The sequence below is a fragment of the Homo sapiens genome, chromosome 9 (genome assembly GCF_000001405.40).
Source record: "Homo sapiens chromosome 9, GRCh38.p14 Primary Assembly".
Taxonomy (NCBI): Eukaryota; Metazoa; Chordata; class Mammalia; order Primates; family Hominidae; genus Homo; species Homo sapiens.
In genome coordinates, this window is record NC_000009.12 from 2,119,767 (window position 1) to 2,139,076 (window position 19,310).

The following is a 19,310-nucleotide window of genomic DNA, read 5'->3' on the forward strand; positions in this document are numbered from 1 at the left end:
GATTTCTGGCTTCTCTTGAAAAATGAGATCGGGCAGTACCAGGCCCACATCTTTGTGTGGAAACAGTTGGCCAGGGCTGAGTAGCAGCTGCACTCTCTGGACAGGCCTCGCGGTCTACAGCTTACCATAGACGCCCTCCTGTTCCCAGTTCGTTTCTAATCCCAGGCCAGTGTCATTCAGGAAGCCTACCTGGCTCCTATAGGCATTGGAACTTACAACAGTGCCCTTACAGGATCAAAGCAACATGCTCCTTAGGGAGATAGGTGGACAACAGCTAAAACAACACACAGGTGTGCCTTTTCAGATTGTTGACGAGAGCCCGCTTAAATGAATGGGAACCTTCAAGGTGTGCATAAAGGTGTAGCCTTCATTTAAGGATCAAAATCAGTTGGATTTCCCTCCAGTATCTTCAATCATTTTCATCTTCATCAAAGACTGATTACAGAGAGAGTAAATATAAACCACAACTTTGGTGGTTGAATGCTGCAGAACCCTAAAGTTAGAGGTCCCAAATTTGAGTGCCATCAGATCTTACATGAGTAATTTGCATGTGTGAAGCAAGTGGGCAGAGGTAGGTGTACTGGAGATGCTTTGTCTATGGGGGGACAGAGCTGCAAGGTAGAAATGTGAGACCTATGTCGCCAGAAATGACAAATTTTCAAGGGGAGCTTGAAGTCTAGGTGTTTATATGTGATCTCTAGATTTTAAAACACTGCAACTAAATCCAACTTTTTAAGTTATTATATAACACTGCATGCCAAACAAAACACAACTGTGGGCCAAATATGATCCACAGGGTTTGCAATCTCCACCTTTTTAGCCTAGACAGAATGGAACTCCACCTGTTTGGAGAGGCTTATGTTATTTTGGGGTTTTGTGTGTGTGGCTTTTTTCTGGGAACATTGATTGTATATAATGATCCACAATAAAATTTTCTTTCTCAGGAAAATTCAGGTAGCTGTGGGAATAACTACTAAACTGGAATATGCACTTCCCTTTCTCCCTCCGTCCCCGAAATGAACCACCCTTCCCAAGTAAAGCTATTTCAGAGAGGAATGGTAGTAAGAAAGACTTAACAGCATGGTCAATGTAGGGCATTCATAAATTCTAGATTTCTTAACTCACACTGGTCAGCATAATCAAAGATTACAATATTCTCTATTTAGGGAGGTTAAAGATACCCATCAGAAATAGACATCCCCTCTGTCCTTGAAGAACTAATTAAAAGGCAGATTACTGGGGAACACCCAAGCAAGAGACCCTCAGCTGATCACTGTTAGGCAATAATTCAGCACTGCTAAAGCCGCAGATACTCTCAAGACACTGGAGAGGACAAGCTGCTTGCCATTATACAAATTAGATTAGGCCCAGAAATGGAGAATTCTTTCAGCAGCCCTGAAGTAAGGGGGTGAGTGTACTTTCCTGCCTTACTTTTGGGCTATTTGTAGAAATTGAAAACCTCAGAAACAATCTGAATATCTTGGAAGGCACAGCCTTCTTTTAATTTGGGACTATTTTACCACTCAAAGAACAGGGTTGTAACACAGGTGAGGCTGGCTAGGGAACACTTTTTGTAGGCACTTTGATTTTGTGAATTTTCTGCTGGTTTCTTAAAGGCTGGCTTCTATTTTGAGGATTAGACAGATTTTAGGTTTGGTTTAGTTTCTTCTAATCCACCGGCCGCCTTTGGCCAATTCACTATTCCTTAGCACCTCCACTTGGGGGCAGGAAATAAAATTTGAATCTCTGCCAGCTACAGATTAAAAAGTTTGGTGAGAAACAAGAATGGAATGTGAGCTAGAATAAATCTTTGGATTTTAAATATTTAAACTCTTTATCCATTATTAGAAAAGAGTGAGTTCTCTATAAAATTAATGCAAACTTATTATTTGATTTTGTATCATAGACACTGGTTTACACATGATAAGCAGATAGTTTATTTAAAATAACGTCTTTTAAAAAAAGCATGTCTTGCTTTCTCTTTCTAAAAATGTAACTTCAGAAAAAGTATCTTTTATACCAATTACTTAGGAATTTTACCAAAAAGATCTTTGGCAGCTCAAGATAAGTATCTGAGACATTTTGCTAACATACAAACATTAAGCTTTTAGATGCTATGTTCTCTACAAAGGGAAAAAGCACTTTTAAAACTAATTGTACTTGTAAGCATAAGGTTTATAATCAGATCTCAAGACCAATTATTCACAAAGTAACTAAATAGTAAGTTTGACTTTTGCCATAATGTTGAATTAATTATATTGGTATTTTGTGGGTAGAAATCTCTAGGGAGAGATGCAGTTATTAAGACTTTAAGCTTATCTTATGTAATCGAATCTACCTTTCCTAAAAGAAAAAAGAAACAAGTGCATAATTTACTTTTCTATCAGAAAAGATTTATTTTCTCAATTGTGGACAAATATATTAGCAAGAATAATGTCCATAGAAATGTATTGATTAAACATACCTCAAAGACTATTTTTTTGCTGTAGATAATAGTAGCAGTAAAACCAAAGATTGAAATGGCAGTATTTTGTCATCTCAGTATAGGACATTAACAAAATTTTTTTTTTTCTTATTAGCTCTCTAATAACTATTAGGAGGTTGCCTCACGAAGCCCCTCTTTAGAACTGCTGTAAAGAAGGCAACCTCTGTGTGCCAGTTATGAAGGTTTGGTGGATCCATTTCTCATACCAAAACATTAGAAGACAGGATTAAGCATCGTGAGCTAATTATAGCACATGACAGAGCAAGGTGGCCACATTTATCAACCAATGGGACTTCACCTGTCTCCCAAGCCTACCAGATTCTGGAAATGTAATGACTTCCAAAAATGTGGAAGAAGTATAAAGAGCTTTGACCACTAATTTTAAAATAGGTTCTAGAGGTCATATTTGGGTTTGCGTAGATATTTCATTTACATTTTATCAGTTTTAGCTTTTAAGAAAACATAATATTGAATCCCAATTTCAGTATGGTAGAACCAAAGGAAGAAGGAAAAGGTAAATAACAATGATTGATGGTCCATTTCATTGTGGAAATGACACATCTCGCTAGTGTTTATACATAATGTCTGTGGATATATAGTGGCAGTTTATTTTTTAAAAATCCATCGTATTGTTTAGTTATAGATTAAAGCCAAGTGTGTGGCCCTTAGTTTATTTACAAGTGAACTGGATTATTAAAAAGAGAGAAGGTGGGGAAGTAGGCATTTTGAAGGCTCTGAAAGGAATCCATTTCACTTACAACTAGATCAGTTGGGATGCGATTACCTCTGAGCTCTCTCTGTCTGTGGTATAATATATTCATAAGAGCACAAAGCTTAAAATGTAAAGAATTGAAGAGCATTCCTCAGACAGTGCCCATGAGGTATTGAAAAGTTAGTATATTCATGGCCAATGGACCAGTGAAACCATTTATGTCTCTTCCACATGTCCAACTGTGGGTAGCTATTCTGTACTGATACCTTGGGTCCCCCTTTTTTTTTTATTGCTGATTGTTTAGTTCAAAGCACAAGCCCTATTGAATAAAAGGAAACTTTCTTAAAGATCTTTCTTTTCTTTACTCAAAGAATAAGTTTCTTCCAGGGAAGCAATGAGTTGTATAGCCAAGAGGTCATATTTTTAAAATGCATTCCCAATTTGAATTTTTCCACTATTACTTTAAAGAGGGAGCTTTGCATACACACAGACTAAGAAAAGGAAATTCTTTAAAAGTACTTTTTAAATGTATGAATAAGTTTCAAAAGGTGGGTACAGAAAAAGGGAGGGGATTTTACTTAATGGAATCTCTCCCTAGATATTTAGGGATGAGCTAGAACAAGCCAACCAGGATGAGAGAGGTTGAAAGGGACCCTGCAGCCATAGGAAGTGACTTGGGGAAGTTGTGTAGTGCTGGGAAGTCTGCACCATACAGAAGCCCTGACTTTCGGTGACCCTCTTATTAATGTCTCCAGCGGATGGACATGGACCGGCGGAGGGAAGATGCCCGGAACCCGAAACGGAAGCCCCGTTTAATGGAGGAGGATGAGCTGCCCTCCTGGATCATTAAGGATGACGCTGAAGTAGAAAGGCTCACCTGTGAAGAAGAGGAGGAGAAAATATTTGGGAGGGGGTCCCGCCAGCGCCGTGACGTGGACTACAGTGACGCCCTCACGGAGAAGCAGTGGCTAAGGGTAAGCCTAGCTTTTCTAACCCGCTCTCACTAGGTGGAGGGTTTTTGGTGGCTTGGAGAAACCAGGGGCCTAGAGCTGGGATTTTCTGAGGAGGTTGAGTTCGCAATCAAAGGGAAGGGGCTCTTGAACACAGAAGATAAAGTCATTCTGCTGTTGCATAAAGTCATTGTGCTGTTGCATGAAAAGATAAAGGCGTTCTGCACTTCAAGGCGGTGCTTGGAAAAAAATATGCAGGATTTTTTGCTAGAGCAGAATTGGCCATTGGAAGCACAGGATTATGAGAGCTGTGAGACCCACTAATGTTTTATGACCAATTGCCTGGTCATGCCTCACTCTCTCCAACTGAGAATCAAAATGTGGAAGGGCACCTTAGAGATCTTTGTAATTGTTCCCCCTCATTTCATGGTCTTTAATCGAGGTTTTACTTCTGCAAGGTCTGCACAGATCTTTCAGGGATAGCAGAGTTTTCTAACTGTGTGGTTATTTTGTAGACCCATAGTACTTTTAGAGCTGGAAGGTACCTTTGTACTTGCTTGGTTTGATGAAGAAACTGAGGCCCAGAGAGGTGACATGGCTATGCAGGACACACAGCTGGTTAGAAAGCACAGAATCGGTGGGTGCTTATGTGTCTACATGCTCGATTTCCGCTTGATCTGATCTGTCCATCACAAACACAGATTAGAGCCTGGGACTCGGGTCACCGATGCTTGGAAATGTTATTCGGGAGTTTGTTTATGTTGTTTTTCCTTTGGAAAATGGTGATTTCTCATTTTGATTGAGGACTGAAATCTCAGAACGTTCCTTGGGCAGCACAGAAATATCAAAATGCTCTTAGGAGTCGCGTGTGTGAACACTGAGGCCCGGGTGACTGTTCCATTCGAAGGGTTAGCTCTACTTCCCATTTTTGGGAGTAGACTTAGTACCTAGAAAGGCACAGCAACCTGGGACGTGCATTCCAGACACAGCCAGTAAATGCATGCTGGAAATAGTAAGTGTAGTTGGGTAAAAACCAAGCAAAACAAAAGCTTTGGGGAGTTGTTCGTTTTATCCAAGGGGAGTACAGTTCCCAAGCTTTGTGAAACATGGATTTTAGGACCCAGGTTTTAAGTAGGTAGATGGGTAGAAAGGCAGTGGGCAGAATTTTGAGATTAGATACCAAAGGCAAACAGGTCTTGTCACCGCTTGAGATGTGATTTACTCAGGATGTTGTATGATGAGAGGGACGTGACCTGAATTTTGAAAAGATGGGAGCCTGTGATTCTGAAAAGCACTGCTCATTATTTGTGGTTGAACCGTTGTGTATAAAATAGAACATTTGTGTGATTAGTTTGTCGTATCCAGTCAAATATTCCAGTGACCTCAGAATATGATTCTGTGAATTTTCTTTGTTTCACTATTGAGATTATAGTTATGTAATTAGGATTCATTCTGTAATATGAAGAGTTTTTTGGCTAATATATATTTCTGAGCTTGGGAAAATTTTATTTAAGCAATAAATTGAGTACCTGGAGTATTATTACAGCAGACGGGACAATAATAATCTGGGCCAACCTTTTTTTTTTTTTTTTTTGAGACAGAGTCTCTCTCTGTCACTGAGGCTATAGTGCAATGGTGTGGTCTCAGCTCAGTGCAACCTCTGCCTACCGGGTTCAAGGGATTCTCCTGCTTCAGCCTCCCCAGTAGCTGGGATTACAGGCGCATACCACCATGCCCGGCTAATTTTTATATTTTTAGTAGAGACGGGGTTTCACCATGTTGGTCAGGCTGGTCTCAAACTCCTGAGCTCGGGTGATCCACCTGCCTTGGCCTCCCAAAGTGCTGGGATTACAGGCGTGAGCCACCGTGCCTGGCTGGGCGAAATTTTTAAAGCTAAGCTTTGATATGTTTACTCTCCAGACATTAAAAGCAAAATAACCTTGTTTATTGGGCAAGAATGTAGCTGAACTTAACTTCTTAAAAATAATCATTGGGAATTGCCCTGAAGAAAAACAACATTATGAATCTCAGGAAGTTTTCCAGTTTAAGATATCTGTTTTGTTTTCTCTTTTTCATTCAGTTTCTATCCCTGATGAGTAGCACAGTGCCTAGCATAGAGACTCAGTGAATGTTTGTGAAAATGAAAGTACAGCCTTAAGAGGAAAGGGAAAGTGACTAACTTATCAGCAGTGTTAGGAGAGCATTTCTCTTTTTAGCGCATCTAGTAAACTTCCTTTTATCTACAACATGCACATTTAAAAATGGAAAATTAGTTTGTTTTACAAAACTGCACTGTGAAAATTGGTTTTTATAATTGTAATTCTGAAATGCCATGCAACATACTAAGTCATCCAAGAAGGACGAAACTGTTCTCAAAACAGCTTTATTGTAACGTATCTTTTTGTAATCTAATCTTTTGAAAACTGCATGCCCGTATTTGGTATGAAACTGGCAACTTGTTATTAATCAGGACATGCAATGGATGCAACATGCCCCATGGCCTAAGCATTCAAAGTAGATGCTTCCTGTCTTTGGTGTTCACCAGCAGCAATCCTATTTAATATCAGCCTGTTAAGCTTTTTTGATGATGAAATGATATTGAAGGGGTTCTCATGGGCCTGGATGTGAAGAGATGTTCTCTACTGGCTTATGATTTAACACATTGCATGAACCCAGCCAACATGGCCTTGAAAGGGAGTTTGGCAAGGACCGTCGTGTAAGAAATGCTGTAACAGGGCTAAAATAATTCTTCTTTTTCCTGGCAATGTTGTACAAAGCCTGCTTGGCAGAGACATCCAAGATGCATAGCATCGCAGAGCTGCAAGGCAGTTGAATGGAACAGCTTCCCATCCCTTGCTTAAATCACATTCTCTGCAATCTCTGTGCCAGGAGGCTGGCCACCCCTAGAAGGAAAAACTACCTTTTTGTCTGTGTAGCCCCTCCAGTTCGTGGTCAGCTCTGATTAATAGTTCTTCCTCCCTTTGAATAGAATCTTCTTTCCTTGTAGCTTCTCCTCAGAGGCCTTGATTCTTTTCCCTGGGGTGAAGAGAACAATATTTTTTTCTGTCTTTAGTATCACAGCCCCATGGATAAAATGTTTGCAAACTCATGTTCAGTCTGGATTGAACTTTTCTACCTTCCTCTTTCTCTTGAACTTTCCTCCTCCTTCAAGGCCCAATTCAGTTGCTACCCACTCTGTGGCACCTTCACAGATAAATATTAATTGCACTTTTAATTGTCCTCTTAACATTTCTTTGCTTGTCCTTCAGTCACAGTTTCCTAGTATTCTCGGTAGTTGCCAACCTGCCTGCTTTCCTGACTAGTTGATAAGCTGGCTCTGTATCTTGTTAGAATTTAGGACTTCTGTGTACAAATACTAAGTGCCCATCAGTTGCCAAATTAAAGTAGCACTGGATTGACAGATAAGGGTATAGATAGATGTGGGTAATGTTCACTGCTGCCACAGATGGACCTCAACATGCCCTGTCCATGGACCTATCCAGAAAAATAAACAGAAGTTGATTTCTCCCTTCCCTGAAAGTCCATGGTAGGTATACCTGATTGGTGAGGACAGCTGTTCTCCATAGGGTCATTCAGGGCTCCAGGCTGACAGAGCCTCTGCCGGCTTGGTCATCTCCATCCACTTGAGCTGGAAGTGGGGAAAACAACATGGAGTAGTGGGTATGGAAGTCTAATGGGCCCTGCCTAAATGGTTATAATTCCATTGGCTAGAACTTGGTTATGTGGCCACTCCAGCTGCAAAGGAGATGGAAATGTGGTCTGGCTGTGAGCCCAGGAAAACAAAATTTTGGTGAATATTTAGCCATCCCTGCCTCAGCACACTTAGGTTAAATTTAAGTGTTATGGTCACTTTCTTTGCCAGTGGTGTTTTGGTTTCATTGAAGACAGGTTTTATTTTGTAATCATGGCATGCTAAAAATTCCTACAGTGTCCTTTAGAGAATCTGTTTAGTTGGTGGAATTTAGAATTTTTTTCTGCATTCATAATGTTGTTTTTAATCAGGAGGATCACAATTTCAAACACAGTTCAGTTTTTTTTTTAAAGGTATTTTACATTGTTTTGAAATTCCTATTTCCACTGAGGAAACTTAGATGTCCTTAGTGTTAGCTGGTCTCAAGTTAACGTCATCTTTTTGTGGTAGTCAGTTCAACATTCACATTCTGGGCTGTTTCTCTCTTCCCCGGGGGCTCCCATCCCATCCTCCTCTCCAAGATGGCATCTGGATAAAGACGTGGTGTTTAAGCACGGCATTGGGGGCGAGCATCCTGGTTCTCTTGCTCCCCATGGGTCTCCACTGATCTCAGCATATAGCTGCTGGTCTGCTCCTTTCCTGGGAGGTCTTTACATGCAGCTGGTTTCATCTCATTCTTTTAGAGACCTTGATGACATGTGCTGTTGAAATCTGGAGCCTGGCCACAGGCACTAGTTAGAAGCTGTCCTGCATTCTCACATCTCATAAGACCCCTGGCCTCTTTGGCCTCATGGTGCTCTTAGCTCTTTTGTGTTCTGTTTGGAAGTCTGCAAACTCTCCTTGACTGATTTCTCCACACTGTGCTAGAAGATGCAGGGTGCAGTGAAACTGGCCCCTTCCTCAGCAGTTGCTAAGTCAGCACCAGGGGTTGTCAAACCTGAAGCTTCTAGAATCTGATGGTTGGGTGGGTCCTGGAGCTTTTTAAAGAAAGCAATTCAAAAATGTCTTAAGTTTGCAAATTGTATAAAAGTATGTAACTGTATTTGGGATCACATAGTGAGGGATCCTCCCAGAGCTTTGGAAGGAGCTTGTGAGTGAGAGGCCTAAAGCCTAAGCTTCATTAGCTTTCCAATAAATCCACCTTTAGCAGTTTTAGTGCCTCATTATCTTCCTTTCCACTCAGTCTCTGCCTCCAAACACCCCAGGCTTGGATTCTGAAGGGGGAGTATTGCATTTCAACCCAGCTGCAATTCAGTGCTGGCACAAACTAGCCAGACTTAGCACAGACTCCATAAGTTAAAGTGCATAGTCCCCAACAACACTGCCCTGACTTCAGACACCAGCCACACTTTGGGGGTCCCGAGGCCCCCCACACTTTTGACTGACTACAAATTCAGGGGCTCGTGAACCCTTTAGGCTTGATAATTTGCTAGAACAACTCACAGAACTCAGGCAAGTGCCATTAGCAACGGATTCGGATTGATTATGAAGTATACAAATCAAGAGAACTAGGCCAGGCACTGTGGCTCATGCCTGTAATCCCAGCAGTTTGGGAGGGCGAGGCGGGTGGAACATGAGGTCAGGAGATCGAGACCATCCTGGCTAACACGGTGAAACCCCATCTCTACTAAAAATACAAAAAATTAGCCGGGCGTGGTGGCACGTGCCTGTAGTCCCAGCTGCTTGGGAGGCTGAGGCAGGGGAATCGCTTGAACCCGGGAGGCAGAGGTTACATTGAGCCGAGATCGTGCCATTGCACTCCTGCCTGGGCGACACAGCGAGACTCCATCTCGAAAAAAGGGGACTAGCCAAATGAATGGAAGCACAGCATGCAGTCTGGGAGGAAACCTGGGCTCCTCTGCCTGCTCCTCGTGGAGTCAGCGTCCATCAGTCCTCCAGCTCATCAGTGTGTTCACTAACCAGGGAGTGCTACTGGGCCTTGATGTCCAGAGTTTTCAATGGGGTTTCACAATGTATAGGCATGATTGATTAGATTGTCGGCCACATGCTTGAACTCATTCCCCAGCCTCTCTGCCCTCCCTGGAGGTCAGACTGGCTCACATCCCCAACCCTGTAGTCATGTGGTTGGTCTTTCTGGTGACCAGTGCCCACTGGAGCTGTTTAGGGGCCTATCACACATGACACTTCATTATCAGAACAAAGTTACTCCTGTCACTACGGAGATGTCAAACATAGAAACTCCATGTCAGGAACCCAGGACAAAGACCAGACAAATTCTTTTTTTTGAGGCAGGATCTCACTCTGTTATCTAGGCTGGAGTATAGTGGTGTAATCTTGGCTCACAGCAGCCTTGACCTCCCAGACTCAAGCAATCCTCCTACCTCAGCCTCCTGAGTACCTAGGACTACAGGTACATGCCACCATGCCCGGCTAATTATTGTACGTTTTGTAGAGTCGGGGTTTTGCCCCATTTGCCAGGCTGGTCTTGAACTCCTGAGCTCAAGTGATCCACCTGCTTCCGTCTCCCAAAGTGTTGAGATTACAGGCATGAGCCACCATGCCCAGCCTGACAGATTCTTTATTATATAATAGGTAGTAATATATTCAATCCTGACCTTACTTCTCTTCCTCTTGACTCCTGTTTCCTCCATGGAAGAAGGCTCTCCTCCTTGCCTTCCTGTTACGTGGCAACTTCCTGTTCCCGAGTGATAGCACCATGTGCTGTGGCTTCTTGTGCCATTCTGAGAATCCCGGTCCTCGGCCTTGTCGTGGCCGAGTGGTTAAGGCGATAGATGAGAATCCCAGTCCGCTAGGTTTGGCTCTTGATCGTAAAGGTGGTGAAGGGAATTCACTACCCTATTTTGGAAGTCAAAGATGTTGTCATTTTTGTCTCTGCATACCAACTTTATCCTAATTCTGCTCAAGGCAATGAGTAACTCTCCCGAACAAGGGATGGTTCTTTTAGAAAGTGTGAAAGAGAATATTAACATGGTTAACAAATATTCCATCCATTACAGTTTTGTAACTTTCCTATGGTGTGTGCCCAAGGTGATAACAGTGCTATATTACAGATTACATATATATATATTTGCATGCGCAATTATACATATACATACATACATACATATATATATACACACACATATATATATGTATAATTGCGCATGCACAAGAAATGGCCCATCTTGATAATTTCTTGGAAACATATATTTGCTTCTTTATATGTAAGAGCAGGCATTCCATCTACCTAAATTCTGACAAGCCCAGTGGGCCACGGTTTTCCGGTTTAATGTCAGCCCTGTGTACACTGGCTGTGCTGTTTCTAGCACCGTAAGGCAGTCATCATTATTGAGCCAGGGGCTGTGCAAAATTGGGGTGATTGCAGAGCCAAAAAGCGGGCTGGAGGGTGGTTTCTGGAATGCCTGTTTTACTATTCTTCCTGTTCCTTTGCTCTTTCTGCCAACTTCAGAATCCTTCCTTTCCTTAAAACATTTAGTGATATCCCTGAATTTATTTAATTGCTACGTGAGTGATTTTTGCCCCACAGCACTGGAAGATAATTGGAATGCATTCTAGCTTATGTGCTCTGGATAATATGCAATTACCAGCCAGCTGGAGAGTAGTATGCCTTTGTCTCACAATGTCTTGTAATTTTAAAAAGTTTCTCCTATTTGCTGTTGTCTCTTGTTACCTTTCTTACGGCATCATATATCTACTATGGGGTCCTTATGTCTGAATGTGTAGACACTTCTTTTGGTATACTGAATAAGCTCCTGGCGATGAGGGAAGACACCGCTTTGTTTTGTGATGTCCTGTGCAGTTGGGCCCCAGTAAACGCTACGGAAATGATGGTGATGAGACTTATTTCTTTAGATCTTTAAATTGGGCGATAGATAACAGCAAGTTTTAGAAGCCATAGAATTTCAAGAGGAACTTTGCAGAAAGACAGAACACCCTCCTTTTCCTTGACCAGTCTGTCACCAGGTGACAGCCTGAGCTTCCCATGGTGAACGTGCCTAAATGGGGTTCCCATCATCATGTCTGCTGACTACTAAAATAATTTTGGGGTTTTCTTCTTCCCAAAGTTTAACAAAGTAGAAAAAACAAAATGAGGCCGGGTGCGGTGGCTCACGCCTGTAATCCCAGCACTTTGGGAGGTCGAGGCCAGCATGGCGAAACCCCGTCTCTACTAAAAATGCAAAAATTAGCTGGGCGTGGTGGCGGGTGCCTGTAATCCCAGCTACTCGGGAGGCTGAGGCAGGAGAATCACTTGAACCTGGAGGTGGAGCCCGCAGTGAGCCAAGATCACACCACTGCACTGCAGCCTGGCGACAGAGCAAAACTCCATCTCAAAAAAAAAAAAAAAGGAAAAAAAAATGACATTTATAATACTAGGTGCTAATCAGTAAGGTAAAATGTGATACATCTCAAGAGAATTTAGTGTCTTTAAAAAGCTATGTAATACCAAGCTGCAATAAGCTCTCTGAGTTGGCCTCTCATCACAGGAAGCCAAACTGCTAAACTCTACACAGGAAAAGGCAGACAAATCCATGGTGAATTAGTCACAAAAAACTGGGGAAAATACGAAGAAAGGTTAAAGAACAAGACATTTGAAATTCTATGGAAATACACAATGATAAATAAAATATTTCCTCACAGGTGTAAAGAGGTGGGCTGTGGATTTTTCTCTGCCTAGAGATCTTGCAAGCAAGCTAATGCCTCCTCTGGGCTGCATTAAGTATGATCCAGCCTGAAATCACAGACAGGGGCTTGAATCACTCAGCTCTGTTTCTCCTGACAGCATTAGTGATTCTCGTAGATGTACTTTTCCCCTAAAATATTTTATTTTACACTGGCAAGATTTTTTTGTGGGGGGGGATCCTTTTTCTAAAGCATAATGTGCATCATGTTTGTAATATTTGGCTGCATTTGTTTTGTCATTTAAAATCTTTTCTTGCTTTTTCTGTAAGATGTGAGAAGCTTTGTAAACATGGACCCTTTTTTCTTTTATCAAATGGCATTTTAACTTTTAAAATTGGGTCATCAGATTTACTGGGGCAAAATTTTCTAGCAAGCTGCATTTCCGTTTTTATACACAAGGGAGAGCTAAGGCCCTAGAAAATAGATTTGGGTTTTGCCAAATTCCAAGTCCTTCAATACTTTAGGGTGGAAGTACTGAACTAATTAAGAGTGGTAACAGTTGTGAATTGTTTGGAAAAATACTTGATAGTAATAAAATAATTTTAAGAACTTTGTATAATTTTTATTTTTTTCTGAAATCCAGTGACTAGATTGCTTTAACAGCCCATTGGACTTAACATTTCCCATTTTATATAATTCGGGAGAATAAATTTAATAGAATAGTCCTCAGAGGTCTGACGGAAATATACTAAAATAAATAATAAAGGTTGAGGAGTGAGAGGGAATTGTTTTGATTTTTAAAACTTTGATGCTTGGAATTTCTGGTCTTGAGTTATGTCCTCTGAAATCAGGATTCAGCTCTGAAATCAAACTCACTCATCGAAAGTAACCATGGGAAACTGAATTTGGCCTACAGATACTAAGGAGCCCCAATAATTTCACATTATCTTTTAATGGAGCAAACTATTACAGAGAAATCAGAGAAATAATATTTTAGGAATTTGTATTATATTTTAGAAATAATATTTTAGGAATATGTCTATCTGAATCAAGATTTGGTTTTTGACGTTTTCTGCTTTTTTACTTTATTTTTTTAAGAGACAGGGTCTCACTCTGTCACCCAGGCTTACTGCAGCCTCAAACTCCTCGGCTCAAGCAGTCTTCCTGCCTCAGCCTTTTGAGTAGCTGAGACTACGGGTACGCACCGCCACACCCAGCTAATTTTTGTATTTTTTTGTACAGACAGGATGTCACTCAATTGCCTAGGCTGGTCTTGAACTCCTGCCCCTAAGTGATCCTCCTGCCTCAGCCCTGCAAAGTGTTGTGGTTACAGGAATGAGCCACCGCGCCTGGCCAGTTTTTGTTTTGTTTAGTTTTTTTAATCAATAAGGCTACATGTTTCAGTCAGTGTCAGGATTTAAAAAAAAAAAAAAAGTCTACATGAAGAAAATCTTCATTAATTTTCTTAATAAAGAAATGTAATTATTCATTAAGAGGTGGAGGTGGGGAAGAGTACAGTTTAGGAAGCAGAGACAGGGCAGGGTGGCCTCATCATCATTATGCCTCAGGGTTCGGGTGAGCATCAGAAAAATAACTGTGACTTTTGATGGCTCTCTATATGGAGAATTTAGGATAGTGATTAAGAGTACATGCCTTGAAATCTGATGAACCAAGAGGTTCAGATTCCGGTTCCATCTAATTAGCTGTGTGACCTTGGGGACCTTGTGTCACCTCTCATAGCTTTGCTTTCCTCTCAGGGAAAATCATAGAACCTACTTGATAGGGTATTCTGAGAATTAAAGGTGTGTAACATAGAATCTGGCATATAAGAAGGACTCAGAAATACGTATTAGCTATTAAGAAAAAGTTTCCAATTATTTCGAAGAAGACCTAATGGATAATAGAAAAAGAAGAAAATACGTTCTCTTTTGTGTCTTGATGACAAGACTCGGGGTGACAAGAGAAAGGTAAAATTGGGAATCAAGAAGCTCCTTTCGCTTACTCACTAATGGAATTAAAAGAGAACAATATGTTTACTTGCTGAATATGTTACAGGACCACAGGTTTATTCATCTCAAGCACTCCAGCTTGTACTCATTCAGCCATTAAGTCTCTTTACCCTGGTTTTTACCTAGGTGCACACCAACCCAAACTCGCTCGGCCATTAACTCTCTTTACCCTGGTTTTCTCCCTAGCTGTACACCAACCTATACTCACTTGGTTATTAACTCTCTTTCCCCTGACTTTCTACCTAGCCGCCTGCCAACCTATACCCACATGGCTATTAACTGTCTTTACTCTGGTTGTCTCTGTAACCCTGCATGCCTGCAGGAAAAACAATGGGGCTAGCAGTCAGGAGCCTGGAATGTGAGTTCTGACGCTGCTACCAGATAAATATGTGATCTTGGACAGGTCTCCTGACCTTCCTGGGTTGTTATGGACTGATGTTTATGTCCCTGCAAAATGGATATGTTGAAATCCTAACCCCCAATGTGATATTAGGAGGTGGGCCCTTTGGAAGGTTATTATATCATGAGAGCCCTCATGAATGGAATTAGTACTCTTATAAAGGGGACCCTAGAGAGCCCCCTAGGTCTTTCTACAACAGGAGGTCAGCAATCTGCAAGCTGTAAGAGGGCTCTCACAGAATCCAATCATGCTATACCCTATCCTCAGACTTCCAGCCTCCGAAACTGAGAAATAAGTGTATGTTATTTATAAGCTATATTAGGGTTATCCACAGAAACAGAACCAATGGGATATGTGGAGCCATGTATAAGAGGAGATATATTATGGGCCTTGACTCGTGCAAGAAATCCCATGAGATGCCACCTGCAAGTTGGAGACCCAGGAAAGCCAATGGTATAATTGAGTCCAAGTCTGAAGGACTGAGAACCAGAGCAGGGACCACTGCTGGTATAAATCCTGGATTACGAAGACCTGAGAACTAGGAGCTCCAGTGTCTGAGGGCAGGAGAAGATGGATGACACAGCTCAAGAAAAGAAGGAATTCCCCTTTCCTTTGCCTTTTTGTTCAAGTCCAGCCCTCAATGGATTGGATGATTCCTACCTATGTGGGTGAGGGTGAATCTTCTTTACTCAGTATGTAGATTAAAATGCAAATCTCTTCCAGAAACAACCTTACAGACACATCACAAAATAATATTTTACCAACTATCTGGGCATCCCTTAGCCCAGTCAAGTTGACACCCAAAATTAACCATCACATCAGTCACCCAGTTAATGGTATTTTGTTATGGCAGCCTGAACTAAGACATGCGTTGAGTTATATTATCTTTAATTTGCAGGATCCCTTCCATCTATCTAACAGTAACCTCTAAAGTCACCTGAAGCAGCTATTATGGAGTACAGTGGTGCAATCTTGGCTCACTGCAACCTCTGCCTCCTGGGTTCAAGCAATTATCCTACTTCAGCCTCCCAAGTAGCTGGGATTAAAGGTGTGTGCCACAATGCCTGGCTACTTCTTTGTATTTTTAGTAGAGATGGGGTTTCGCCATGTTGGTCAGCCTGGTCTTGAACTCCTGACCTCAGGTGATCTGCCTGCCTTGGCCTCCCAAAGTGCTGGGATTACAGGTGTGAGCCACAGCACCCAGCAACTTTTACTTTTTTTTTGAGACAGAGTTTTGCTCTGTCGCCCAGGTTGGAGTGCAATGGTGCAATCTTGGCTCATTGCTACCTCCGCCTCCCAGGTTCAAGTAATTCTTCTGCCTCCGTCTCCCGAGTAGCTGGGACTACAGGCGAGTGCCACCACGCCCGGCTAATTTTTGTGTTTTTAGTAGACATGGGGTTTCACCATATTGACCAGGCTGGTCTCGAACTCCTGATCTCGTGATCCGCCTGCCTCAGCCTCCCAAAGTGCTGAGATTACAGGCATGAGCCATCGTGCCTGGCAACTTTTACTTTTTATTGTGGTTTTTAATAATAATTATCCCCTGCTTCTTTTTTTTTTTTTTTTTTTAAGATACAGTTTCAATCTGTTGCCCCGGCTGGAGTGCAGTGGCACGATCTTGGCTCACTGCAACCTGCGCTTCTCGGGTTCAAACAGTTCTTGTGCCTCAGCCTCCCGAGTAGCTGGGATTACAGGCACGTGCCACCACCCCTGGCTAATTTTTATATTATTGGTAGAGACGGGGTTTTGCCATGTTGGCCAATCTGGTCTCGAACTCCTGACCTCAAGTGATCTGCCCACCTCAGCCTCCCAAAATGCTGGGATTACAGGCGTGAACACTGTGCCTGGCCTATTCCCTGCTTTCTCATCTTACATAAATGTACTGTGAGTACATTTATGGAGACTGTTGAAAAGCAAATTCAATTCAACATCCATTTGTCAAACATTGATTAGGTTGAGCAACACACTGTGATTGGCCTGGGGAAAGCAGTATTGTTTGGATTCCTTACAGTCATGGCAGACCCACCTTATTAGTGCAATTAGGAGCCAGGTTTGAGAGAGACTATTAATAGAGGTAATATTGCACAGTTAGCCACCTTGAAGAGCTTGTCAAGAGCAGGTCTCCAAGTAGACACAGATGGAAATTGATAGAGATTAAAATAAACCATGAGATGCTCTGACTTTTAGGGGTTTAAGCTGTTCAGGAAATCAGAGTTTAAACAACACATATTTTACTTAATGCTAGAATTTTAGTGTCATTCCTCTGGATGTTATTTGCAATTTTCCCTTCCACCATCCTCAAACTCCCAGAGGAGGAAAGGGCCACTGCCTCTTTGGCCAAGCAGTCTGGCCTCCAGACACAGCAGGCAACTGGGTTTATCTTCCTGGCTACTGCTAGGAGACTCAAGCCTTCTTAACACCGCCAGTGCTCGTGTGGTTTCTACCAACCCTACTTGGCCCAAAATGAAAAAAATGTACAGCACGGCCCATTCATTCACCTTTGAGAAAAGAAAGATTCAGGGCTTTAGGTGCCAAAGTAATAAGGATCTGGAGTGTGTAACATTTGCAGATTTTTGGCATTTTGGAGGATACCTTTCCTCCTTGTTCACAACAGTTCAGGTGGCTACCCAGAGAGGTCAGTGGGAACTTACCAAAAATCGGCCCTGATGACCACTCCTGCATCAGGTTCTCCAGTGGCCTTCCATTGTAAGTGTTATTAAATCTAAACACTTGAACATGGTCTATAAGGCCACAATCACCAGGCCTTTGCCTGGTGCTGGATTCCCACCTCCTTGCCTTCATCTCTGGGTGGCTGCTCCACTGAACTCTCCTTCTAGTCCTTGGCACTTCTAGAAGTCTTTCTCCCAGATCTTCATGTGGCTGTCTCCTCCTTGTCCCAATGATCTCCTTCCAGAGAGACCCTTCCTGGCCAACCTAGCTGAAATAGATAGCCCCTGGCAACAAGTCATATCACCTATGTTAACTTTCTTCATGGCATTTGCCACTATCTAAAAGTTATCTTACTGTTCCTCTCCACTGGTATAAAGCTCCGAGAAAGCCAGGGCCTTTGCCTGTCTTCTTGACTGCTATGTCCTGGTACCTGCAGCAGGACTTTATGCGTGGTAAGCACTCTTTAAATAGGTGTGGATAAGTGAATATACTAGGCAGAAATGAGGGCTAGGAGGGATTTGGTTGCAGCCCCATATCCTTTTGGCAAAGACAGTAGAATCATGTTTTTGTAACTAAGATGAGTCAAGGTAGAAATTGTCATTCTCTCCTGTTAGATTCCAGTGATCTGTGACTTCATGTAAAGATTTCTTAAAATAATTCTAAAGGCACACATTTTTGATGTAACAGTGCTTTTGAGCTTTAAGAATTTGAGGCCTCCATTCTAATTTCAGAACATATTAATGAAGATTTAAATATGCATTAAAAAGTACAAGCATTGCTTCAACCCAGCTATTTCTCAGAAATTCTCATTGATTTTATAACAGCTGTCTTCTAGCTTGAGCCTTCTAATTTCTTCAGCAAAAAACAACAACAACAACAAAAAAAAAACAGATAAATACATCTAACTTAAAATTAAGACAAAAAGTATTAATTGGATTTTTAGTTTTGTGTGTTTTCCGTATTTAAAATGTGATGCTATATGCCTTTTAGATGGCTTCCCTTCTTTTATGTTAAAGAATGAATTGTCAGAATCATGGAAAATTGTGGATGACACCATGACCCTTTCCTTGAGGCAAAACTTGATTCTTGTTCTGTCACTCCTATTGAAATAAGTATTTAAGGTCACTATGCTCTTAGGAAAGCATATTCCTAACATATCATGCTGTTTTGAAGAATATCTTTCCCTTGGACCTTTGTAGAACCTTTTTCCAAAGATTATTTTAAATATCATCCTCAAAAGTTGAGCTTTACCAAGGCTTCCCATAGTCCGTTCTTCTCTTCCACAGCTGCCTCTGATAACTTATGAAAGATGGGCTCAGGTGTCAGATGATCAGGGTTCTGCTTGCAGATTTGTCACTGATTTGCTCTGCAACATCTTGGATAAATCACTTTACGTCTCAGAGCTTCAGTTTCCCTGTCTCTACATTGGAGTCATGAAATGGGGAAAGGGGTAGGGAAGAGAGCACCATCTCTCCTGCTCTGTCATTCTCCAGCTTTGCCTTTGGCGGCCCTAGAAAGAACCATGTGGGTTTGCCTTGGCCTGGCTCCATCTCCGAGAACTCAGCTCTTAGGAACTGAAACTCAGAGGGGTGTGGGTGAGAGATTTTTCTCCCTGTTCTTAGCCGGAGTTTCTTTCAAAAATGCAGGCTTGACAACTAAGGGTTCCCTAGCATATCTGTAGCTTAGTAACTGGTCAAATGTGTAGAGCTTTTGGGGACTCACCTGTAGCATCTGAAGAGTTGAGATGAGTCCTGTGTGCTGACAGGATGT

The 19,310-nt window shown here is 41.9% G+C and overlaps 1 protein-coding gene across 4 annotated transcripts in view, besides 1 other annotated feature; it reads left to right on the forward strand.

Moving 5' to 3' along the window:
- SMARCA2 (SWI/SNF related BAF chromatin remodeling complex subunit ATPase 2) overlaps positions 1-19,310 on the forward strand; it is a 178,274-nt gene that overhangs the window by 104,420 nt on the left and 54,544 nt on the right. For all 4 annotated transcript variants that reach the window (NM_003070.5, NM_139045.4, NM_001289397.2 and 1 more), the window contains exon 27: positions 3,953-4,171. In NM_003070.5, the coding sequence (NP_003061.3) occupies positions 3,953-4,171 (219 nt within the window). The remainder of the gene's footprint in view (positions 1-3,952; positions 4,172-19,310) is intronic.
- Positions 16,025-16,292: a silencer, noted in NCBI's record as "fragment chr9:2135791-2136058 (GRCh37/hg19 assembly coordinates)". NCBI's record gives its function as "represses an EF-1alpha promoter that drives an FKBP-Casp9 reporter gene in an ReSE screen in phorbol 12-myristate 13-acetate-treated (for megakaryocytic differentiation) K562 erythroleukemia cells {active_cell/tissue: K562(+PMA)}" and the evidence as "EXISTENCE:reporter gene assay evidence [ECO:0000049][PMID:32094911]".